The sequence below is a fragment of the Homo sapiens genome, chromosome 6, assembly GCF_000001405.40.
Source record: "Homo sapiens chromosome 6, GRCh38.p14 Primary Assembly".
NCBI lineage: Eukaryota > Metazoa > Chordata > Mammalia > Primates > Hominidae > Homo > Homo sapiens.
In genome coordinates this window covers 129,516,765-129,543,376 of record NC_000006.12, presented here as the reverse complement: position 1 = coordinate 129,543,376, position 26,612 = coordinate 129,516,765, and the positions used below count along the sequence as shown (strand labels likewise).

Genomic DNA, 26,612 nt, shown 5'->3' with positions numbered 1-26,612 from the left:
ATGTAACTCATCTAACTTACCAAATGTTATTAACAAGTAACAAGAGGGCTGAAAATCAATCATTGAATTTAGCAACATAAAGATCATTGGTGATTTTGACAAGAGCAGATTTAATATCATGGTAGGGAACAAAAACCTAGGTTCAAGAGGGTTTAAGAGAGACTGAAAGGAGAAGAATTGGAGAAAATATGTGAAAATGCTTTCAGAGAGTTTTGCTTGTAAAGAAGATTAGAGATATGGTCTAACAGCTGACGGGAAGTGGGGTTGTTTTTCTTTTTTTTTTTTTAATCATAGGAGTAATAACGGAATATTTTATTGTTTTTGGAAATAACCCAGTAAAGGAGAAATTGATGTTTAAAATGAGGGGATAATTGCTACAGAGAGTTTCTTCAGTAGATGAGAAGGAATGGGATGTAGTTCACAAAACAAGGAAGTGGCTTTAGAGAGGAACACGGAGAGTTCCTCTCTAGGTAAATGGATGATTTACAGATAGGTACTAGAAGGGAAGTCAAAGATTGTGGGTATAGACCATGGCAAGTGGGTAGATGGTGGTAGGAATCAGAAAGTTAATTTCTGGATGCTTCTGTTTAATCATTGGAATAGGAATCAAGATAATCAGTTGTGAGGAGAGGAGATGTGCTGGAGGCTTAAGGAGTGAGTAGAAGGTGTGAATGAAATGACAAATACAACATGATCTCACATATATGTAGAAATTCAAAAAGTTAAAGTGTTTAACTCATAGTAGCAGAGGGTGGAATGGTGGTTATCAGGGAAAGGATTGGGGAGATGGAGGGAGTAGGAGGATAAAAGGCCTAGGAAAGTACAATTGATTGCAAGGTGCGATCAAGGCCTGTTTCACGTTTCTGGTAGGGTGACACACTGTCCCAGTTTGCTTGGAATTCATGGGTTTTCTGGGATTTAGACTTTCAGTGCTAAAAATGGAATAGTCCTGGGCAAACCAGGGTGGTTGGTCATACTAGTTTTTAGTTGTGAATTGAGAGAATTTAATGTTTTTGTTTCTTCTGCTGCCATGAACAGCTGTAGGAGTGCAGGGTTAAATTAGGCACAGAGAGAGAGAGAGAGAGAGTGAGAGACGGGGGCAGGTAGGGGCGGGGAAAGAGAGAGAGAGAGAGAGAATTTGACCAGGGTTCTAGTTTTGCCAAAGAATACACCAAACAATTTGATCCAACCATTTCACTTCTGGGTATATATCCAAAAGAATTAAAAGAAGAGTCTCAGACAGATATTTGTACACTTGTGTTTAGAAGAGCATTATTCAAATAGCCAAAGATGGAGGCATTACAAGTGTCCTTTGACAGATGAATGGATAAACAAAATGTGGTGTATACATACAATGCAATATTATTCAGCCTTAAAAAGGAAGGAAATTCTGATACATGGATGAACCTTGAGGACAATATGTTAAGTGAAATAAGCCAGTCACAAAAGGATGCATTCTGTATGGTTCCACTTATATGAGATACCTAGAGTATTTAAATTCATAGAGACAGAAATTAGGTGGTGGTTGCCAGGTATTTGTTGTTTAAGGGGTACAGAGTTTCAGATTTGCAAGATGAAAAGAGTTCTGGAGATGGATAATGGTTATGGTTGCACAACAATGTGAATGTAGTTAATACTACTGAAGTATACACTTAAAAATGTTAATCATAAATTTTATGTTACATGTATTTTGTCAAAAAAATTTAAAAAGCATAAAAAACATAAGACCACAAACAAAGCGAGAGGAGGCAAATGATTTGGAGGGAATTATGCAATGAAATGATCTGAGCAATTTGGTTATGTATAACTTCTATGGAGGAGTTTGTTTTAGTTTTAGTTTTGGTGATAATAGGGAGAAAAAGATCAGGATTTGGGTTCTGGACATATAAAATTTGAAGTTCCTATTAGACATACAAGTAGATATGTTGAAAAGGCATTTGGATATGTGGGATAGGAGACTGAGAGGCAGGTCTGGGTTTTAGATAAACATTTGGAATGTAACAAGGACTGTAACTCATAGTTTCAGGGCCTTAGGCTTTCAGAGATGTTGGCGGGGTTTGAGAGGCTTCATTGGATCTTTATCTGTGGCTCAAAATTAGTTTTTAAAATTATTATCAAAATGATGCCTTTCAGACCATTTTACTTTTTAACAAATTAATGGCTTAAAAAAAATAGCAGTCCTCTGCACCACTCATCCCACTCTCCACATTTATCTTTGTTAAGTTCTTTTTCTAGCATTTTCTATATTTTGACTTCTCTACTCCTCAGCACCCAAAGTCTTGTTTCTGCTATCTGACTAGGGTCGGCCAGGATTAATATCATGGTGTCATTCATCTCTATATATGCTGATTACCTCCAGAGGCCCCAGACCCCAAGGCCATCCTCATCTTTAGCACTCGAATCCACACGACACTCTGCACATACCCTATATGGGCCCCATTCAGCTCTCACCCTGTTCCACCCCCTAAAACCCTTCCGCTACTATACCCTCTGAGATTCATAGTGCTTCAAGAGAAAAATCCTCTATGTCTTTCACCTCTGAGACTAATTGAAGAGGTGAACAGACCATAATGTATATCAAAATGAAAGTTGCAAGGCCAAGCACTACCTAGGCTGAGCCTCAGTACAATATTTATGCAGGTTTTGGGAACTGGGTTTTACGTTGTATTCTTAAATGAATGGGTTTCAGATATAAAATGAATAGCTCTGTACTTTGCAGCATGCTTGTGAAATGGAATCTGGTCATGTATTTCTGTTATTGGACAAAAGTCCATTGTTTGTTTCATATTTTATGCTCAGATGCTAATTTTTCAAATGAATCTTTGTTTTTGTAGGTGAGATTAAATTTACCTACACCTAGAGAAATAATTGGAGCACATGTCTATTTGGGCCAAGAGGATAAAGGCCAGTAGAGGAATCAGATCAAAGAAGTAAGTGTAATGTATATTTCAGCATCTCTAACTTGCACTTACAGTGCATTCCTTTTATTTATAATCATCATGGGAAGTAAATTTGTCACTACTCTGGTCATGCACTGGAAAATTATATAATGAACACCGATTTTCTGTGTGCCATGGTTGAGACAGATTATAGTGTCAAACCAGGCCATCGTGGCTCTGATCCTGTCCAATGCAATTCAGAAATTCTCAACTGACCTTCATATTATGAACAAATTTCTGCTGTTTCTCAGCATGATTTTCAGGAACTTTCACAAACTTGGCAGTTTGCAATATTGATCAAGTCAGAGTCTTATTCAAGTATCTGTTACAGAATATAAAGTTGGGAATTTTCTTAAAGGTCAAGGTGCAGGTTTTACTTTGGTACATTTCATGAAGAAATTAAAGTGATTTTTCTTACTCATCCCCCGAAGATTTTGTCTAAGACAGGCACAGATTTGGGGAAATTGGGAGTGAGGGAAGTAGGAGACCTTTATGGGAAGAATATTCAATGGGGTTAAGCCATTGATGACCAAGCACAGAGAGCAGGGAGGGTGTTGTTAGGAAGATGGGTAAATGGAACAGAAATGCTCAGGGGAAAAGCAGCATTTCTTTCTGTGAAGCACTGAGAACCTTTCTCTCTTCTTTGTCACTGAGGGGTTCTATCAGTCAGAGTCCAACAGGAGACAGAAATCACATAAAAATAGAGAAAGTTTAACATAAATAACTAATAGGGGATTTCAGTAATGAGGAATCGGCTAATAGAGGCATGGAGAATGCAAACAAGTAAAGAACAGTAGACATAGGGAGAGCCACAACCCTGGGGCTGGGATAGAGCACCCAAGAAAAAGGCCACTCCTCCAGGGGCTGAGATACCAACTGTGGAGGGGCATGGAGCAGTTCACTGTGGCACCGCTCTGGTGGGACTTGCTGGAAATCCTCCCCCTGGAGTTCGAGGGAAGCTGTCCTCATGAAGGTGCTGTGCCTCAGAACTCTACAGACTGTGGGAAGCTGGGGAAACTGTTTTGGGGGAGAAACCATGCTCACTAATACTCTATTATGAAGCTTCCTCAGGGAAGTGTGCAGAGAACTGGAGTGGACCTTCCCCTAGGAAGCTGCCCAAAACGAGAGTGCTGGAAAGCTGGCCGCAGTGAGGCACTTCAGATCCCAAGGGTATGCTGGGGAAGCTGCCACAGGTGGGAGCACTTGCTGCTGGACCCTAGGCACTGTTGAAACAACTGCACCATCTGCAGGAGCCCAGCAAGGTGAGTACAGCAGAGCAAGAGAAAATACTCTTTCCTCCAGTGCTCCTCCACTCACAGAGCTGAACATTGGGCCAGCTGGTGATGGGAAGGTATTTACAGAATTCAGCTCCATGGAAAGAAAGGAGGATTTGGAGCTGAGAGGCAATAAATCAATAACACATGCTGTGCTCTACATGCCTCCCCACCACCTCTCATTTCCCAAATGCCCATGACCTTGTGCTCCTTGCTTTCTGGAGAAATTCTACTTAAACTAAAACATTTGCTGTATGATGCCCTCTTTTGTGCTTAAAGCCTACTATGAGACTCAAAGTCTTTTAATGAAGCGAAAGACCTAGTGCACAGCATAACATGCCCTGCACGTAAAATAATTACAGCTCTGTGCCAGGTGTCATTACATTGGACAAGTTCTCGCAACAGTTCCTAGAGATTGATCTGAGGCTCTGGCAGAGAACGGTAAGAAAGCAATTTAGAAAAGCAATAATAAAATGGATCGTGGCAACCCAAGTCTATTCACTGAGAATTACCTTAAATATATTTGCCATTTTAGTTTTCTGGAGTGTTTCCTTTGTAATCACATGAAACCCTAAGGAACTTTATTTTCTTTATCCAGGCTTTCAAATTACATCTGAAGAAGACAAGGCAAATAGTTATTTAGGTCAGCGTAGTTTTCATCTGTGTTTATTTTCTGTGTATATTACTTAACAAACAACATAAATGAAAAGGCACTTAGTCTTAACACAGAAAAACTGAAATCTGTCTTTTTAAATCTAATTCTAGTCAATTAAAATCAAACCAGAATTTATACTTTTTCGTTATCTTGGGGCAGAGACTGAGACTTTGGTAGATTTGCTGATTTGTTGTTTGCTGAGCTAAAGATCTTTCCTCCAACACCCCGCTCCAACATACTCACATATTCACGAAACACAACAGTGACCCTGTACAAGAAATCACCATCCTGGGCAATCATTACCCTGACAAGAAATCAGCACATGAAGATGTTTGCTACCAAGGTGGGGCTGCACAGCTCAGGCACTGCTCAGCTAAGTCCCCTAGGAGAGACATTGCAGAGGCTTTGTCAGGGCTGCAGCCGACAGCTACATGGGAATTGGGATTCACTGACTTGCCCAGCCTCCTTGCTTTCTCTATTCCTGAAGAGGATGAAGAAGACAATCCAGAATCAAGGAAGAAGAAGCAATTTCCTCTTTGCTTAGGAGGGATTTTGGCTAGCATCTTTCAAACATGAAATAGGACCCATGAAGGAGCTTTTCAAAACAATCAGCATATAGTGAATCACAAATGCTAATCTTTAGCATTTTAAAGTATGATACATTTTCTGCTACATGTATTTTACAAACAAAAAACAACAAAAAAAAGTGTAGGTAACAACAACAACGACAACAGCAAAAGGATTATGGTGATTGCCAAGCAGTTAATTATTTTGTTATTTTCTGGATTTTATGATATTTGTGGTGCTGTCAGCATTTTAAAATCTATAATAATGTCTCATTATACATATTCACTTTATTGAAAGAAAATATGGGTTAAGCACACCACCAGAAAACCAAGAAACAGATTTTCCTTCTATGAATACGTCAATAAAAAATGAAGATACAATGAAGGGAAAATTTGGAATGTGGAAGGGAGCTTTTGGAGGCATGGCAGAAACATTAACACGAGTGAAGATCTCCCAAAAGAGAACTCTGATAGGTTTATAGACATTTTTTCTTTAGGGGAGTTATATAAGGGGAAATACAATCAATTCTAGGGTTTAAATATACACACAGAGGACTTTACAATTTTGAGAAAAATAATCACTTAATAAAAGAATCAAGTCTTTTATACCTGTTAGACTCATCATCTCTAGGGAGATCATTCATTTAACCAAGACTATAGTCAGAGATATCCAATGGGATAACATGATATCCCTCAAGAGCTTTTGAGAGATTAGTAATACGATGCCATATCCCTTATCAAATAATATTTTGCTAGGAATCAGAGTGTGCTGAGTTTTTAAAAGATCATTGTGTGAAAGAATTTGAAATTATTATTATGATTATTACTATTATTATTTAGCACAGAATGACAGAATGGTTTCAGGGACTAATAATCAGCCAAATAACTCTTAAAATTGCTTGTTACAAACATTCCCAGGCTGATAGTGGCCAAAACCCATTCTGATTGGACAGTTGTACAATAGACTACCGTATTTATGTTTCCCTAAACTTAAGCCTGAAACAGGAAGAATTTTCTGCCTTTAGCAGCCAACTCTCCCCATCCTTAAGTCTTCTCTTCCATAATTGTTTGCTTTCTCTAGCTACCTCTTAATTTTTGTTGTTTACTGAAGTCCCGCTGTGCTATCATTACATGTGCCATGAAACTTGATCACTTAGCAGAGTTGGTGATAGCATACCCAGTACCAGGAGGGGTTACAGAATCACAAATGTGTTAAATCAGCTTCTCCTACTGCATAAACTGCTCCTCCAAAGGGAGTTGGGCTCATTGGGAGCCTTTAATAATCCAGGCCACTGGGGTACCACTTCACAAATTACTATTTCTTCATGATAAGCTTTTCTCTTCAGTTGCAATTTCCTTGGCTGCTAGTGGTGGCTGCTTGCAATATCCAAAAAAAAGTGAGAAAGTGGGGCAATGATAGGGAAATAATAGAAGCAGGATCCAGAGCTTGAAATAGTTTTAGAACAGCACTGCTGACTGTAAAACAGTCAGCTCTACTGAGTGGAGTAATGTTAGATGTTTTATCCATCCATCCATCTGTTCACCCAGATGGTAGAATAAATATTCTAAAAAAAACCTTGGATATTATGTGGGGAAAGTTGTAAGATTAAATGTAAAAGGGATACATATAATCCCTAAATTTGGGTGTAAAAAATTAATCATACAATTACAGAATGGAGGATTCCTATGTTGAGTACTTGTGTCCACATGTGAAAAATAACAGGTGATTAAAAACATCAGCCAGTAGCTGCAAGAAAACTCTGCAATCATGTAAACAGAATTAGAATGTTGATCTCAATGGAATAAGAGTTATTATTTTTTTAATGATGTTTGGCTCACATCAGGCCATTTGGTTCTGAATACCACATTCAAGAGGAGCATTGTACACTGGAATTTGCAAACCGAAACTGGAAGATAGAAGTTTATTTCTCTCTCCAGTCATAAAGCTGTTGGAAATTGATACTGGGAGCTGCTAGTGACCATCTTTCCAGTTCTATGTGTGTTTGTGTTGGTGAGTGGTATCAACTTCTACCTCTATCCATGGAAAAATAACAATATTTATCCTCCTAAATCTGCTATTTCCTGAATGAGCAAATTATCTTACATCTGTTTTCAATAAGGGGATGGGATTTTAATACTAGTGCAAAGATGGTGTCAAAACTGCAGGCCCTGTGTATGATAAAGTGTCAGATCTGGGCTGTATTCATAAAGATAAACAGAAGAGTGCTCCATGGAGATGCCTTCATAAGCCAGGGCACATGTAAGACTGTCATCATAATTAGCACACAATCAAAACTACAAAACACCAAGGCAGTCTACTACCCTGTGATTGTTTGCCCCTATAATGATTGGAAGCATTCCAATGACTGGAATTACAGATAATAGAGCAACTTAGGATAAATTAAAATATCAGTATCTTTAAAATGTTTAGAATATAGGAAGAATAAACTGAATAATAGATATTATTTTTTGAAAATGATAGGAAGGCATGAAAAAGAAAAAACAATTTCAGAGATTTAAAAAAAGTCATTGAAGTGAAAAAGTCAATAGATGGGCTAAATGGTAGACTAACTTCATCGAAAAGAGAATTAATGAAATGCAAAATAGAATTGAAGAAATAAGAATACAGCAGAAAGAAATAAAGAAACAGGAAATATACAGAGACTGATTTACCAGATTTATAATGAAGTAATGATGCTTAAGCTCTAGGCCTCTCAATTGCATAGACCCTTCAGCATATGCTCCTCCTTAGCAGTGTGTTTATATTGTTATATGTTGCTAAAAGAATTTGCAAAGTGAGATTTTTAACTGCAATTGATGAAGACTGCAGAATTTTTTCATTCCACTTGGCTTCTGTCATACTTTTCTTATGTTAGATAGCACTGAAGAGTCCATGCACATTTTTTGACCAATGATGACTTGTGGCACTAAAAAAAACTGTCAGTAATAACCAAGCTAGAGGAGAGATTAAATATTTTTCATTCCCTCAATTGAAAAATATATTACATAATTATTGTCACAGGAAAATATGCACCCAAAGACGAAGAAGAATAAAACTATTATGGAGGTATTCCAGTAGTTAATATACATATTACAATATTTTTCTGGAGTTTATTATGTTTGTAGAATTTGTTTGTTTTGTTTCAATTTACAATTTGTGTGATTTACTTTTCTCATTCTAAAGAAATATGTACTTCATATCTAATTTTCTACTCATACTTTTGTATCCTTTCCCAGATCTTTTCTGGGAGTCCATAAAGACTCCCAGATTGTCTAAACTGCAGGTCCCAAAAAACCTGGATCTGTCTCGGGAAGTATGAAAGACAGGTTGACGCATGGAAGATAAAATGAGAAGCTCCAATTTAAGTTAACTAAGATTCAAATGAGAATAAAAAAATTTGGAAGAGACAATATTTAAAGAGATATGTTAGAAAATTTTCTCAAATTGCAAGACTTAAATCTTAAGTTGAAAAAAGTACATTAAGTTCTGAATAGTGCAAAACCAAAATCTTCACCTAAATACATCGTAGTGAAATTACAGATTATCATAAACAAAGAGAAACTCTTAAAAACTACCAAAGAAAGAAAACCTATAAAGATACTAATCAAAATAAAAGTAGGCTTTTTATTAGCGTTAATTGATGTAGAAAGACAATGTAATCGTATCATCAAATGCTGAAGGAAAATGTCCACCTAGAATTTTATACCCAAAACAATCACTCAAGATTAAGAGCTGAACAAACATATTTTCTGACACTTACAAACCAAGAAGCTCACCCTCACTAAATGAGTTATTTATCTAATTCCTGAGCAAAACAAAACAAAAAACAAACAAAATAAGCCAGATGGAAGGCGTGGAATTCAAGAAAGGACAGTAAGCAAAAAAAGGAATTAAACCAAAATAAGTATTGTCCACAAAAACAAGCAAGCAAACAAACAAAAACCCAAAAACTAAAAAAACCCCATCAACAACCAATTATGGTTAGTTTAATAGAACTAAAACACTAAACAGAAGTAATATAAGATTTGACACTCCCTGTGTCCTGAAGCACTCTCCTCTCTTAGCTTTCTTGACATCACATTTTCCTAAAATCTCATTGCCTGCTCCTTCTCATTCTCCTTCATTGACATCACCTTCAAGTTCAACCTCTGAATGTGGTAGTTCTGTTACTGGTAGAAGGTGTCCAGGTTCTTGGTGTTTTGAACACAGAATTAGACAAAATGCATAAACCAACCCAGATTTATTGAAACAAAAGTACACGCCACAGAGCAGGAGTGTGCTCCAGCAAGCGGCTCAAGAAAGCCTATTACAGAATTTTCTGGGGTTTAAATACCCTCTAGAGGTTTCCCATTGGTTACTTGGTTTACACCCTATGTAAATGAAGTAGTGGCCTGCAACCAGTCTAATAGGTTGTAGAAGGTGACCAATCAGAGGCTGAAGTGAAGTTACAAAGTTACACATGAAGACTTGGCCTATGACCAGTCTGATTGGTTGCAGGAAGGGACCAATCAGAGGTACTTTAATTTTTCATCTCCAAGGCAGAAAAAAGGTCGGGGGTGGGTTGCAAAGGGAGTAAGCTCTGATTCTTTTGTTAGTTGGTTGTGCAGAGGTGGGGTTTTCCTTTTCATTTAGTTCTAGGTAGTCAGCGTGAATCAGCCTGGGTTCCCTGACTCCAGACCCTGTCCTCCTGCCACAGTTTCTCAAACCTGGTCCTGGAACCGTCTGTTTTTCTCTCTCTCCCTAGAAGGTTAATATGGTTTGGCTCTGTGTCCCTACCCAAATCTCACCTTGAATTATAATAATCCCCACGTGTCATGGGCGGGACCAGGTAGAGGTAATTGGATCATGGGGGCAGTTTCCCCCATGCTGTTTTCGTGATAATGAGTGAGTCTCGTGAGAATCTGATGGTTTTATAAGTGTCTGATGTTTCCCCTGTTTGCACTCATTCTCTCTCCTGCTGCCCTGGGAAGAGGTGCCTTCAGCCATGATTATAAGTTTCCTGAGGCCTCCCCAGCCATAAGAAACTGTGAGTCAATCAAATCTCTTTTATTTATAAATTACCCAGTCTCAGGTATTTCTTCATAGCAGCATGAGAATGGACTAATACAGAGGTCCTACTAATTCCCATGAATTTTTGACCCCTCGCCTTCAAAATTTATATCTCTTGCCCAGGCCTATCATTTGAGTGTCAGATTCACACATTTGACTGCCTACCTGACACATTCGACATGATACTTCACACTTCAAATTCAAGATGTTTAAAAAGAAACTAGTTCTTTCCCTCACCCATTGTAGACATCATTAGCCACCTATGCAACTCTGTTTATCTTGTATTTCTTGTTGGCAGAGTCCTGATTTTATTTTAATAGACTATTTTTTTTAAAGTAATTGTAGGGGCTGGGCATGGTGGCTCACACCTGTAATCCCGGCACTTTGTCAGGCCAAGGCAGGTGGATCACTTGAGGCCAAGAGTTGAGACCAGCCTGGCCAAGGTGGTGGAACTCTGTCTCTACAAATAGTACAAAAATTAGTCAGGTGTGGTGGGACACACCTGTAGTTCCAACCACTAGGAAGGCTGAGGCACAAGAAGCACTTGAACCCGGGAGGCAGAGATTGCAGTGAGCCAAGATTGCATCACTGCACTCCAGCATGGGTGATGGAGTGAGACTCTGTCTCAAAACAAATTGTAGGTTTACAGACAAATTGAGCAGAAACCATAAACTCCTCTCCACTGCCAACCCCTACAGAGTTTCCTCTATTTCAGCATTAACTTACATTAGTGCGGTACATTTGTAACAACTGATGAACCAATATTGATAAATTATGATTAACTAAAGTCCATAGTTTACATTAAGTTTCACTGTTTGTGTTGTACAGAGTGGATTTTGACCAATGCATAATGTCATGTATCCACCATGGCAGTATCATGCAGAATAGTTGCACTGCCCTAAAAATCCTCCGTGCTCTGCTTACTCATTTCTCCCCTTCTTCCCCACTGGTCCCTTGGAGACCAGTATTCCTTTTAATGTCTTTATAGCTTTGCCCTTTTTCAGAATGTCAGTATGTTGTCTTTTCAGAGTGGCTTCTTTCACTTAGAAACATGCATGTATCACATTTTAAGCTAGATGGTTAAAAAAAGGAGAAATGTACGTTTAGGTTTCCTCCATGTCTTCTCATTGCATGATAGCTTATTTCTTTTTATCACTGAATAATATTCCATTATATGGATATACCACTGTTTGTTCATTCACCTATTGAAGGACATCTTGGATGCTCTCAATTTGGCAATTATTAATAATGCTGCTATAAACATCCGTGTGCAGGTTTTTCAGTGGACATACATTTTTAATACATTTGGGTAAATACCTAAATCCTGATTTTATTTTATTATTTGCAATTTCCTAACATATTTTGGGAAGAGAATTCTATCTTCAGTTTGGGAAAAATATCCTTATTGATACAAGAAAATATGAAGATCTCTTTTTTTCCTGCATACAGTTGGTTGGGGATAGTTATATTCTGCAAATAAGAACTGAGTAAAGACTTCTGCAAAACTTTTAGAAAATCTTTCTTCACTTATAGGAAGGAGACAGTGGTCAAGATGGCCACTTCTGTCTAAAAATGTATTGATACGTGAAAGTGTCGCAGCTGTTGTGCCTGAGGATAGACCCCTACTGAACAGGGCAGAGTTAAGAGAACCACAGAACAGTGGACTCAGAGCCCTAAAGTCCAGCACTTGGATCCTGCACTGCTATGTACCTCTTAGTTATGTTAAATGACATATTTTCATAAGATTTAAAGCACATTAAGCCTGGACTTTCTGTAGCCCAAAGCATCCTAGTTGTTACTCTCCTCTCACCTCCCTAGTTTTCGTTAGTCTTATAAATAACATCTTCATCATCTACATGATCATTCGAGTCCCGAATCTAAAAGTTGTCCTTGAAATCTCCTTCCTTGCCTATTCCTCAGATACCTCCCCTGCACCCAATCCATCTTAGGTCTAGCTCCGTCTTCAAAATATTCTTTAATGTATCCTCTTCTCTATATTTCTGCAAACACACTGTAGTCCAGGCCACTATCACCTTTTTGCCACAATTACTTGAGGGGTCTTTCTGCTTTTGCTCTCGTGCCCTTCCAATCCTGTATTCAGGTAGCAGCAACAGAAACTGAATCAGGCCCTGTGATTACATCTTTTCAGTGGCTTCTCATTGCTCTTAAAACCCATACCCAAATTCATCCCCATAACGCATAAAACCCTGCATGATGTGGCCCTGAACCTCTGTCCAGCTGAGTTCATGCCATCCTTCCACTGGCTTGTTAACCTCTGGCCACACTGATCTTCTTCTGCTTCCTAGAAGACATCTATCCTGTCCCAGCTCAGAGTCTGCATGTTCTAGTTCTGCTCAAACTGCCTTCTGAGGGATGACACCCTGCCTTGCCCACAAACATGAACATACTTTTCAGATAATTGGCTTCTTCTCATTTTAGGTATCACCCAAATGATGTCTAAAATGAGATACCATTCAGATATCACCTAAAATGAGACAAGGCTTTCCTGAGCACACATTCTAAAGTTGGTTTTCCCATTTCTCTCTGTTTTAGTCCCTTGTTTCCTTTACAGCACTCCCAACAAAGTTCTATTTTATTCACTGCTCTACTTACCTGCCTATCCCAGAGGAAGAGAAGAGACAAGGGATTCTGTCTTAATTATTCAACATTGTGTCTCCAGCACCTAATCAGTGCATTACATATAAGAGGCTCTCAAGCTTAGGTGCCAGATGAAAGATGAGTGATAACTTTTCTTGTTCTCATTTTTCATAGCCATGTCTATTGATCTCAATCAGGCGTTCACCAAGATTAGATTTTTTTTTTAAACAAGAGAGTGACATAATGGAGAGGCAAAGAAAAAGGGAGAAGACAGAGGAAAAGAAAGAGGCATTTTATAATTTATCAAGCTACTAATATTAATAACCTTGTTTTAGAATTAATTGAAAAATCATTTCTGAGAATCATAATGTTTGATCTAGAAAGCATAAATAAAGGTCATTATTTGAATTTTACATTTTTATTACACTCGAGTGGGAAAGCAATCTAGTTTAGTTCAGGAGAAATGACTGTGGATCCAACCATCACATCCCACTTGGATGTGTTTATTTATAAAGTGCTTGCAGATCATGAGAAGGAGGTCACTGGGGTTACCATTCACTCCTGAGAGAAGTTTTTGTTTAATGTTTGTCTTATTGTCTTGAGGAAAAGCAGCTTTATTAATCTTTCAGAAATACATTAGATTGAATCAATTATAGACTTTCTATTAAGAAAATTAGATATTTTTTTCATATTTGCACTACGTGTACTGCAATAGACACACAAACCAAACATTCTGAGTAAACACTAGGCCTTTAAATTTATATCGATCTATCAGGCAGATGGGGTTGTTTAGAAGCCGGGGGGAGAAAGAAGAAAGATTTAAAAAACTCATTATTATTTAATCAATGACTAATATTTTTTAGTTGTGGTGATAAAGCTTTCACTTCAAAACCAGCACTTAGTCAAGAAATTCATTTATCGTCTTGTCTTTTTGGAAGAATTCGAAGAGACACCACATAATTCTTACTACCTCTTTAGGGATATAAAAAAAGCTCCACTTTTAACATGTCAATTCATTGTTTTTTTCAATGTCTCCTTCTGTTGTTACATATTTTATTTAAAAAATGATTCTTTCATTCATTCATCAGATCACGTTCTGTTGTTCAGGTGTCAGATTTCCCTATTTGGATTACCTTCCCTTCTTCTTCCCAAATCTCTTATGACCAAGTTCAAGTTTCCCTGGGGACTCAAACCCTTACCTGACAGCCCCACAGAATTCCTTCTCCCCTGAACTTCTGTGCATCCTGAATTTAGCTCCGACTTTGTCTTGGTTTGTTTTAATGCTAATCCTATAGTCAAACAGCTTTTTGGATTTCTGTGTAGCCGATCTCCTCCTCTCCAGGATCACCTCACCTCTCAGCCACTTGAGAGTGGTTATTCGTGCCACCTGATCCTGCAGTAGTGCACGGATCACAAGAGGTCAACACTTGATTCATGTCCAGCCAATCATGCTTCCTTCTTAGGGAATTTAAAATTTGAATAAAGAGCAGCTGGTTCTTCTCCATAGACCCCTTGAAAATAACTGTTGTAATCAGAGATTGTCTATTTCCATGCAGCCAAAGCCAGGCATCCCATCTGGAGAGAGAGAAGACTGAAGCAGAAACACAATGGGAAGGAAGCAAAGATGGAGGTAGAATAGCTGCCACGAGCCCTGATAGTTTCAGGCCTTGACTGCATGTCCTTAGGATCTCAGGCTTCTCTGTTTTTCCTTTGGGTTCCATGAAAAACCCCGATATTTTGGTAATAAACACCCTTGGGTTGCTTTGCCTGGCTTGAAGATTTTGCTTACAAACTAAAGAACTGTGGACAAGATACACTTCTTGTCTCAAGAGGGCCTGTATATTTTAGGATTTAACTGCGTGTACATGGAAAGAAAGGTCAGGAACGTTGGTTTTACCTCTCTTCTCGATGAGAACAGCACTGGGCTCCCAATCACTACTTAACCTTTATCCTGCAAGTTCTAGTTTTTAAAATAATTGAAAAGTTAGAAAAGTAATATAGGATTTTACTTTTGGAAAGTATTGAACCTAATGAGAATGTTTTAAATTTAAAATGTATGTTTTCAGGACCTCCTGGCTTGGTGACTTTGGACAAGTCACTTAATTGTTTTAAGCCTCTGTTTTTTCATATCTAAAATGGGGTTGATAACAGTGCTGTCACAAAGGACTGTTGAGGGCATTTACTAGAAAATTGTGTCTGCTAGGCACAGTACAGGGCCTGGCACATGGCTCGCAGATCTATCAGTTAGAACCGAATATTGCAAGTGAGAGGAAACTCCAATATTGGCTTTAACAACACAATAACTATCCTGGTGCACGTAGGTGAAAAGGGCGGAGTTATGACAGGCTTCAGATGAGGTTTTACCGGAGATGTAGTTTCTCCATTCTGCCTTTTGCAATGTCATCTTCATCCTCAGGATGCATCCCATGGTCTTTTGGCAGATCTGGGCTCTCCCTACTTAGTAGCAAATCAGATACAACAGTTCCAACTGTCACATCCTTATGCACACTATGCTTTAGCTCAGGAGAGGGGTGCATCATTTCAAACTAGCCTTACCAAAAACTTCACTGGCTCTGATTAGATTCCTTATCACCTCAAGCATTGTAGGCAGGAGGCGGAATGGAATTCACTTATTGGATTACTAGCATCCAGTTCTGGCATAGGGATGGTGAAAGGAATAGGTCCCTAAGGGTGGCTCATGCCTGTAATCCCAGCATTTTGGGAGGCTGAGGCAGGCAGATCACCTGAGGTCGGGAGTTCGAGACCAGCCTGACCAACATGGAGAAACCCCGTCTCTACTAAAAGTACAAAAATTAGTCAGGCATGGTGGCACATGCCTGTAATCCCAGCTGCTAGGGAGGCTGAGACAGGAGAATCACTTGAACCCAGGAGGTGGAGGTTGCGGTGAGCCGAGATTGTGCCATTTCACTCCAGCCTGGGCAACAAGAGAGAAACTACATCTCAAAAAAAAAAAAAAAAAAAAAAAAAGAGAAGAAAATATAAGGAACTCTTTCCAGAAGTAAAGAGAATAGATTTGAGGCAGTTGTCTTCTACAGTGCAAAACATTCAAGAAATGTACCTTTCTTTCACCTTAAAAAGATTTTTTTAAGAACCCATACAAAATAGTATATTATTTTATCCAGTATTATAATTATGCATGAGCTACTACAATTGCTGCATACATTTTTGTGAGTTTATGTCTGAATGTGATTTTTACAATTGGATCTTAAGAAATGTCTTATTCTTAACCCAAAGGTCGATCTGAACAAATCTTTCTTTGTATTTTATTTGCCTTTAAAAAATTCTTTTATGGGGGCTCTACTCTTCAGAGTCTGCTAAGGAAATGAGATTTTGGCAATGTTTTAATTCAAAAAAAGAACTCCTAGTTTTACTGTGCTGGATCTGGTTGTCTTTAGTTTCCATTATATTCCTGTTCCATTATTCCTTCAATAACTTTGTTCTCCCATGACTCTTCTTTATTGTTACCACATTTTTTCTGTTCTTTTCAGAGATGAGTTTTTGGATTCAACTGAAGCCCTTGCTATCTGCTAGAGTCAGAGTCATCACAATTGGGGGGTCTTCATTAAGCTACACTTTTTAATGGAACATCCTAGTGAGGTTTGAGAGTACAGCTTTATGGTCTATATTACATTACTAAGCCGATTTTATTGGGTTAGTCTATACGTTTTACAAATTTGTTATTCTAATCTCCCCGAAGAAATAATTTCCTTATTGATCCCTTTCTTTTTCCCCCATTTTATTTTCCCATATTTTGTGATATCCTCTACTTCAACTTTAAAAAATTATAACCATAGAAAGAAATACATTTTACATTATGACCCAGTGTGTATACTCACAGAAACATATTCATATAGAAAACAAGTTTCACGAAACAATACTTCCTCTGTACAGTGCACTTTGGTGTTGTTATTGTGTTCTATTCTATTCATTTTCTTCCATCCTACTATGTTATAAAAGTTGCTCTTTTACAAATCTGTAATTTGATCTTATGACCCACTGACATGTCTCAACATACCATTTGAAAATTATTGCTAAACTGTACTTTCTCACTAGTGATATTGTACATCCAGGGTTTATGATTGTGTTCAAGAGAATTCTTGTCTTTGTAAGGCAAAAATGGCAAATATGTCTATTTCCATCTAAAAGAGCATTATACAAAATAAAATTATTAAGAGTTTCCACTTAATAGCTGCACTGTTTAGAGCCCACTGGAAGCACATCAAGTGAGTATGCATGCCAATTAATGAAAACCAGATAAATTATATGATTCAGTTACTCATTTTGTTAACTACCCAACACAGTGATGATGAACACCTTGATTGTTTTGACTGTTATGAAGTAATTTCTGCACATCTGCCTCACCAGATCCATAATTTACATTCAGCTCCCTCACCAGATCCATAATTTACATTCATCTCATTATATGAGGCATCATGATTACCACTAATACATTAAAAACCAACTTATAAAAGAAAATAAAATTTTAAATTGTATTCAGTTTATATTTTATTTACTGGGACTAAACACTTCATAGCAACAATGTGTTATTTTTGAGAAGTGTCTATACATAGTAGTGTAAACATTTATTTTAATTATCATTAAGAATCAAAAAATGAAGAGTATCTAAATAATCCAATTGATATTTTAAGGAATAAAAATATAAGAATTACAAACATCAGATCATGAAGTTAGTTTTGGTCCATTTTTGATTCCACAACACATTGTTAAAATGTCAATGAAAATATTAATATTCATTTGGTATAAGACCAAACAAAAGTAATTTATAAATACATTTTCTTTTATTTACATATTTAAATGAAAGGGACTATCACCTTTAAAATGGGAAAAGCCTAAATATCTCTTTCTTTCTGCCTCTTCCTCCCATCCTTCTACCCTTCTGTCCTCCATCTCCATCTGTTTATGTACAAAGAAGTTAACTGGCCTATTCTACACCTCTTGAAAGATGTATGAACCATCATTTGTTTATTTAAATGAGTCCTTGGTAGTTCTAACCCTGGAACATATTCTACAGAGTTGCCAGTGCAAAATATAGCACAATGACTCATCAGCACCTAAAATTTGTAGCATCTGCTTGGTGAATTTTGATTTGAAACTCGTACTTGATATTGTGTTTCTTTTCTGTTCACCATGTGTTAATATGTGTGGTGTATTTTCCTCCATAAGCAGTTAACAGTTTCTAATGTGGATACTTCAGTTTCAGGGATGATTGCCCATCTCCCTGAGGTGCCCATTAGGGTGCCCCAATGAATCCCATAGTGTTGTATAGTTTGCATTTTAATTCAGCTAATCCAAAACACGTTCTCCAAATTCGGTGAAAGTCTGTTCAGATATTTCTTTTATGATGTTGAAGTCAATAATTTTATTTAAGTTACCTGTAAGATAATAGACTTTAGGTATTATATAAATTAATTACATAAAATGATCTTAAATAATATGCTGACATAATTTTTTTTACTTAAAACTCTTGTTTTGTCCTATGTAATTCAAAAGTAACAAAATGATTTAAAAATTCTGTTTTTTCAATCCTTTATTATTATTCAAGAGTTTGAGTGTCAAAGTCAGTCTACACTTCTGTAAAGAAATATAAAAATCAGTGGTGTATTTGGCTACAGGTAATCTGTTCTTGGCTCCAACATTACTAAACAGATGACTGGATGTGTGTGTGTGTGTGTGTGTGTGTGTGTGTGTGTGTGTGTGTCTAGAAGCTGAGGCTAACAGGAGAGGGTAATTGCCCATAAAAGTGAAATAAAAAGCCAAAATTCTTCTCTTAAGCTTAAGCTTTTTCCCTCCTTAGCATTACTTCATAAGAAATGTAGCAGTGGAAACATAAGGTTGGCATGTTTAGAAAATTCAATCATAAATAAAAACATTGTGTGAACTGGTTTTTAGTTTTGAATTAACCTGGGCAAATTCAGCTGGTTACTCCTTTTCCCTTTTTCCCAGTTTTCAAAGTTAAAAAATTTATGACTCTCAGGCAAAGATAGTGTGAACTCATGTCAAAGATTTTATTTAACTTAATCCATGAGGGAACCCATAAAATGTTAAAACTTGTATAAGAATTTGAGAAGCTACACACACACACATACACACACATGCACACACACACACTCTCACACATTTCATAAAAGAATATTAGGATAAGATTTCTCGATACAAAACTGTTACCTTTGGGGTTATCTCTCCGCCAGAAAGAACTTGTTTGCATCCCTGCTAGACAAAAACCTACAAGTTAACCTTTGCCCGTATGGAGTTGTAAAACAGACCAGTTGATAGAAAGAGAAGCCTGGTAAGTACTGCACTGAAAGAATATCCAGACATTTATTTTGCCTATTTCTAAGTTCTGAATAATGTTTCTTATACCCATACTCTTAATACTCTTAATGTGGTAGTGTATCCATAGTCCTCCCTCTACACTCACTCCCTTAGTGATCTCGCTCAGTCTTGTGGTTATAAATAACATCAATATTCTCATAATTCCCATGTTTATATCTGTAGTTTGGATCTTTTTCTTGAAGACCCTTATGTTCAACTGCCTGTGGCATGATGCACTTAGATACCTACTGGGGAGTTTAAATTAAACATGTCTAAAACTAAATTCTGTGTTATGTTTTCCATAAAAAGCCTACTCCACTCACATCCCCCAGTAATACCTACTCTATCCTTCCAGATGATCACAAGTTATCAGTACCTTATTTTGTCGCACTCCATAGGCGATCCTACAGGAAGCACTAGTCCACCTTTGATATGCTTTGGACGTTTGTCCCCTTCAAATCTCATGTTGAAATGTGATTTGCAATGTTGAAGGTGGGGCCTCATGGGAGGTGATTGGATCATGGGGGCAGATCCATCACGCATGCTTTAGTACCACCCCGTTGGTGATACGTGAGCTCTTGCTCAGTTAGTTCATGGAGATCTGGTTGTTTAAGAGTCTGAGACCTCCGTCTTCTCTCTCTCTTGCTCCCCATTCTCGCCATGTGATGGGTTGGCTTCCTGTCGCCTTACATCGTGATTGTAAGCTTCCCGAAGCCCTCAGCAGAAGCCGAGCAGATGTTGGCACCATGCTTCTTGTACAGCCTGCAGAACTGTGAGCCAATTAAACCTCTTTCCTTTATAAATTACCCAGCCTCATATATTTACTTATAGTGATGCAAAAATAGCCTAACTCAACCTTCAAAATAAATCAGTGTCTAACCATTTCTCACTTCTTCTACTGCTACCACCTTTTCTATCTCTAGGTGCATTCCTGCAGAAGTGTAGTGCTTCAGGGAGATAACTTTTCTAAATAAAACAGGGCCTTAATTTGTCCAAGGGTGAATGAGCCGTTCTTCAAACCTGAAGATACAAAACTAGCTCTCAAGAGAGCCCATTCTACCAAAACATTCAAAAAGTGATGGTATTAATTCTCTGATTTGTAACTGAATGTAGCTATTTCTAATATCCCCAAGAATATATAAAACAACTTTCTTAAGCATGTTATGAATGTGCCTTTATTTTTTTATTCTCAAAATTTTTCTAATCATTATATAAGTGATAATGGTCACTGTTCAAAATAATGGATTTCTATGATCTATATGTCACTCTTTAGAGAACCTGAAATGTGCTGATACTTTAAAATTTTAAAATATTATTATTTGTATTTTTTTAGTGAAGAAACACTCCATATTAGTTTTCTGGAGCCATCGTTATGAAGCAACACAGACTGGGTGGCATAAACAATGGAGATTTATTTTTTCACAATTCCGGAGGCTAGAAGTTTGAGATCAAGGTGTTGGAAAGGTCAGTTTCTTCTGGAGGCTTCTCTCTTTGGCTTGTGGATGGCCGTCATCTCTCTTCACCTTCACGTGGTTTTCTCTCTATGCCTATCTGTGTCCTAATCTCTTCTCAAATTCTTACATCAGTCATATTGAATCAGAGCCCATCCATGTGACCTCATTTCACCTTAATTACCTCTTTAAAGGTCCTGTCTCCAAATAGAGTCACTTTTTGAAGTACTGCGGTTTCGAACTCTGACACATGAGTTTTGTGGGGACACAGTTCAGCCCATAACACCCTCATATCAATAATGGCACAAACATCATGCTCAGTTAGGTAACTGGCACAAAGGCCAAAAGAATGAGTCTGAGCCACCACCCTGCATGACAAGATTCCTAAATCATGTTGGAACTTAGGGTCCAGCCTGGGGCATTGCTTCCCTCCAGGTTCACTTTGGGTGTGAGGTATGTATTAATCTCAGTTGAGCAAAGGAAAAAAGTGCATATGTTTTTATATCTCTCTTAATTTAACTGAGATTAAAAGACTTTAAAAATGAGATTAAAAACTGGCATTAGCAGTTAAGTCATACCCTTTGCAAGTGGTAGTAAAAAAGACTACTCAGGGTTTGCAAAAATGGATTACGATATTGTGTTTTGTTTTCATGTTAATCATAGATTATATTATACACAAAATAATTCAGCAAATAATTCATATAACATCAAGAGATTTTCAATTTGTCAAAGTCCTCTTTTCCTCTGTCATTAAGTAGGAAACCTAGAAGAGTTCTGTAGTTGGGGACAATAGGTTAAATCAAAGTGGGAGAAAATAGTGATGACTTTTTTTAAAGCGCTAATTGAAGCCTTAAGTGTCTGCCAGTGTTCTGGTGCTTTGGGGCTGAAATCTGCTCTGTTCTTTAGTCAGTGGTGTTCACCATGGTAACTTCAATAAAAGTCCCCTCACAAATGTTTTTCTTCTAAAGTGCAAAGCACCTTTTTAAAGAAGAAGGCTGACAACCTGGTAGGAGTGGGTGTTTGGAAAATAAGTGAAAAGTCTTCTGCTTTCTTCATAATTGCTGTGGGTGGCAGGAGGTGAGGAAATCATTGAGGGGACAAGGTTGGGTAGAGGAAATATTTTATCTTGTTTTGGGATAAGAACTAATTTGATTTTTGAGGTCAGAAATTAATTAAAAAATACTAGAGAAGAAACTTTTCCCTTTCATAAAACGTCCTTATTTATTATTTATTTATTTATTTTTGAGACAGATTGTCACTCTGTCGCCCAGGCTGGAGTGCAGTGGCACGATCTTGGCTCACTGCAACCTCCGCCTCTTGGGTTCAAGCGATTCTCCTGCCTCAGCCTCCCGAGTAGCTGAGATTACAGGTGCCTGCCACCACACCTGGTTAATTTTTGTATTGTTAGTAGAGATGGGGTTTCACCATGTTGGCCAGGCTGGTCTTGAACTCCTGACCTCAGGTGGTCCACCTGCTTCAGCCTCCCAAAGTGCTGGGATTACAGGCGTGAGCCACCGTGCCCAACCAAAATGTCCTTATTTCTGACCTTAAAATGTGGACAATTTTTGGTTATCCAAATTCATGGGTCACTCTGGAGTATGAATTTTGCATGGGACAAGTTTTGTCCAAACCTAATTCAGTGAATTCTGCTTGGATCCAGATGCAACTGTCTGGACTACATTGGGAAACTTTACTAAGGTGGGACTTTGAGCACAGTTATCAAAATATCCTTGAGTTCCTTCTAGTTCCTCCCCATAAAATGTGGAGGTGACAGGAGCCCAGGGGTTTTCAGTCTTGGTTTCACATTTGAATCAAGTGGGGATTTTTAAAAAATGCCAATGCCTGGGCCCTACCCAGAGATTATAGTTTAATTGGGCTGGGGTGACACCCAGATGTCAATTTTTTTTTTCTTTTTTGAGACAGGATATTGCTTTGTTGCCCAGGCTGTAGCATAGTGTCACGATCACTGGCTCACTGCAGCCTTAACCTACCCTGCTCAAGTGAACCTCCCACCTCAGCTTCCCAAATAGTCGGGACCACACAGGCATGCACCACCAACACACCAGGCTAATTTTTTTTTTTTTTTTTTTTTTTTTTTTTTTTTTTTTTTTTTTTTAGAGCTAAGGTCTCACTGTGTGGCTCAGGCTGGTCTCAAACTCCTGGGCTTAAGTGATCCTCCTGCCTTGGCCTCCCAGAGTGTTGGGATTACAGGCGTGAGCTGCTGTGCCCAGCCCAAATGTAGATTTTTTAAGCACCCAAAGCACTTTAAACATCTAGCTAGACTTGAGAATCACTGTATTCGCTGATCTCAATTCACTTCCAGTTCTATCATTCTATCATTCTAAGGCATCTACCTACAAATTGACTGAGGCAGGACTTTATTCTGATAGGAGTGCCAATTTAACTGCCTTTGCTTTCCGTTTTGTTACATATCTTTCTGTGCAGGACTCAAGAAAGAAAGGCTTTAGCTTTTAATCTAAGGAACCCAACATCTTTATTCCTGTTTATCCCACTCAGTGTCCAGATTAAGCCCAAAAAGTCATGTCAGCGTTTAGTGCAGATGTATGTTTCCACTTTTAAAACACATTGGTTTTCAAAAAGTTTTATTTCTTAAAGTTTGGTTAAAAGATATTCACTAGATTCAATGTTTTATATATTAAATTCACTAGATTCAATATTTGATATAAAAAGATATTTCTTTCATTTGAGACAGGGTCTTGCTCTGTTGCCCAGGCTGGAGTGCAGTGGTATAATCATCAGCTCACTGGAGCTTTGACCTCCCAGGCTCAAGCAATCTTCCTGCATCAACCTCCTGGAGTAGCTAGGACTATAGGTGCATGCCACTATGCCTGGCTAATTTTTAAATTTTTGGTAGAGACAGGGTCTCCCTATGTTGCCCAGGCTGGTCTCAAACTCCTGGGTTCCACTGATCCTCCTGCCTGAGCGACCAAAGTGCTGGGATTACAGGTGTGAACTACTGCACCTGGCCTATAATATTATTATTTTTAATGGGTGTGGAAATTGCCAAGACAAAGCTAATAGTAGAATTCTCAAATGACTATAAAACTCTTTGTTGGCATGGAGGATAATGTTTCTTTTTAGAATAGTGCTTCTCATCCTTTTTTTTTCTTTTTTTTATTATTATTATACTTTAAGTTTAAGGGTACATGTGCACAATGTGCCGGTTAGTTACATATGTATACATGTGCCATGCTGGTGTGCTGCACCCATTAACTCATCATTTAACATTAGGTATATCTATCTCCTAATGCTATCCCTCCCCCCTCCCCCCACCCCAAAACAGTCCCCAGAGTGTGATGTTCCCCTTCCTGTGTCCATGTGTTCTCATTGTTCAATTCCCATCTATGAGTGAGAACATGCGTTGTTTGGTTTTTTGTCCTTGTGATAGTTTACTGAGAATGATGATTTCCAGTTTCATCCATGTCCCTACAAAGGACATGAACTCTTCATTTTTTATGCATACTATTCCATGGTGTATATGTGCCACATTTGCTTAATCCAGTCTATCATTGTTGGACATTTGGGTTGGTTCCAAGTCTTTGCTATTGTGAATAGTGCCGCAATAAACATACATGTGCATGTGTCTTTATAGCAGCATGATTTATAGTCCTTTGGGTATATACCCAGTAATGGGATGGCTGGGTCAAATGGTATTTCTAGTTCTAGATCCCTGAGGAATGGCCACACTGACTTCCACAATGGTTGAACTAGTTTACAGTCCCACCAACAGTGTAAAAGTGTTCCTATTTCTCCACATCCTCTCCAGCACCTGTTGTTTCCTGACTTTTTAATGATTGCCATTCTAACTGGTGTGAGATGGTATCTCATTGTGGTTTTGATTTGCATTTCTCTGATGGCCAGTGATGATGAGCATTTTTTCATGTGTCTTTTGGCTGCATAAATGTCTCCTTCTGAGAAGTGTCTGTTCATATCCTTTGCCCACTTTTTGATGGGGTTGTTTTTTTCTTGTAAATTTGTTTGAGTTCATTGTAGATTCTGGATATTAGCCCTTTGTCAGATGAGTAGGTTGCGAAAATTTTCTCCCATTCTGTAGGTTGCCTGTTCGCTCTGCTGGTAGTTTCTTTTGCTGTGCAGAAGCTCTTTAGTTTAATTAGATCCCATTTGTCAATTTTGGCTTTTGTTGCCATTGCTTTTGGTGTTTTAGACATGAAGTCCTTGCCCATGCCTATGTCCTGAATGGTAATGCCTAGGTTTTCTTCTAGGGTTTGTATGGTTTTAGGTCTAACGTTTAAGTCTTTAATCCATCTTGAATTAATTTTTGTATAAGGTGTAAGGAAGGGATCCAGTTTCAGCTTTCTACTTATGGCTTGCCAGTTTTCCCAGCACCATTTATTAAATAGGGAATCCTTTCCCTATTGCTTATTTTTCTTAGGTTCATCCTTGACAACACATTAGAATTGCCTGGGAATGTTTTTAAGAATCCTCATGCTTGACTGGGCACAGTGGTTCATGCCAGTAATCCTAGCACTTTGGGAGGCTGAGGCAGGCAGATTTCTTGAGCTCAGGAGTTCGAGACCAGCCTGGGCAACATGGTGAAACCCATCTCTACTAAAAATATAAAAATTAGCTGGGTGTGGTGGTGCCCACCTGTAGTCCCAGCTACTTGGGGAGTGAGGCAGGAGGATCACTTGAACTGGGGAGGTTGAGGCTGCAGTGAGCCAAGATGGTGCCATTGCACTCCTGCCTGGGTGACAACATGAGACCCTGTCTCAAAAAAAAAAAAAATCATTATGCTCTGGCTATGTCCTAGACAAAATCAGAATCACTGGACCAGGTACTAGATTTTTAAAAACTCCCTAGGCACTTTTCTAAAGCATAGGCAGTTTTTTAAAAACACTGAGCTAAGCTTGAGAATTGCTTCTGTAGAATAAAGTTGTGTGTACAAATTGTATTAAGCAACAGGACGGTGGTGAAATAGTGAGTATGTCAGCCATCACCTCAATTGGAAACAGCACCTTCCTTCCCCTAGTGGATAACAACATTGTCAGAGAGGATTATTCTTTGTTGCTAAAATTTCCATAGGAGAAAGGAGTTTCCTGTTCTTTTACATGTTCTGAATTATTAGACTGCAACCATTGTCTACTAAAGATGGCAAATGAAACGTTTCCTTTTTAAGCTGGTGAATAAAATCAAGGCCAGTCTTCTCACAGAGCTCTTTGAAGATGACTGAAATCATGGGTTAAAGGAGAACAAAACACAGAACGTTTATAGAAAATGAATTTGTTAGGTCAAATTACAGCTCCAAAAGACTCAATGAAGTATGCCTTTTAAGTTTCTGGTTTATTGTTTCCTGATAAGTACAAATGCATTTCAGCATTATTCCTCTCCACCTAGGTGTAAATTGTGATATTCACTGTAGGCTTAGAGAGCCCCAAATCTTTCTTAGTACTGTAGTATCAAATGTGTGCTTGGTTGTCATTCATAAGCTTGGTTTTGGCATCTCCCCAAAGCCCATAAATCATTATCAAATAAGAAAATCAAGTAATTAAGCTTTCTGGCCTGAATCTGGTCTATACCCTCTACCTTCAGCATAAAAAGCTATTCACTCATACGGCTAGTTAAACTCTCTAATAATGAACTTGGGTCAGGACAATGATTTGCTAATAATTCTTTCATAAATAGAGTAAGGGAACTGATTTCCTCCCAATCACACATGCCAAATTCACTTGCTGTCAGTGGCTTG

General features: G+C 38.1%; 1 long non-coding RNA gene across 15 annotated transcripts in view; it reads left to right on the top strand.

Annotated features, from left to right (window-relative positions):
* Positions 1–26,612, top strand: part of LOC102723409 (uncharacterized) — a 77,085-nt gene that overhangs the window by 26,190 nt on the left and 24,283 nt on the right. For 3 of the 15 annotated variants that reach the window (XR_007059756.1, XR_007059757.1, XR_007059755.1), the window contains exons 3-9: positions 2,835–2,930; positions 4,002–4,201; positions 14,639–14,712; positions 16,592–16,754; positions 19,313–19,410; positions 20,141–20,208; positions 20,770–20,900. This is a non-coding gene — a long non-coding RNA (uncharacterized LOC102723409). Of the gene's footprint in view, positions 1–2,834; positions 2,931–4,001; positions 7,446–10,405; positions 10,462–14,638; positions 19,411–20,140; positions 20,209–20,769; positions 20,901–26,612 lie in introns of all 15 variants that reach the window. The other 12 variants (XR_001743860.2, XR_007059754.1, XR_007059758.1 and 9 more) reach the window with 9 other exon arrangements.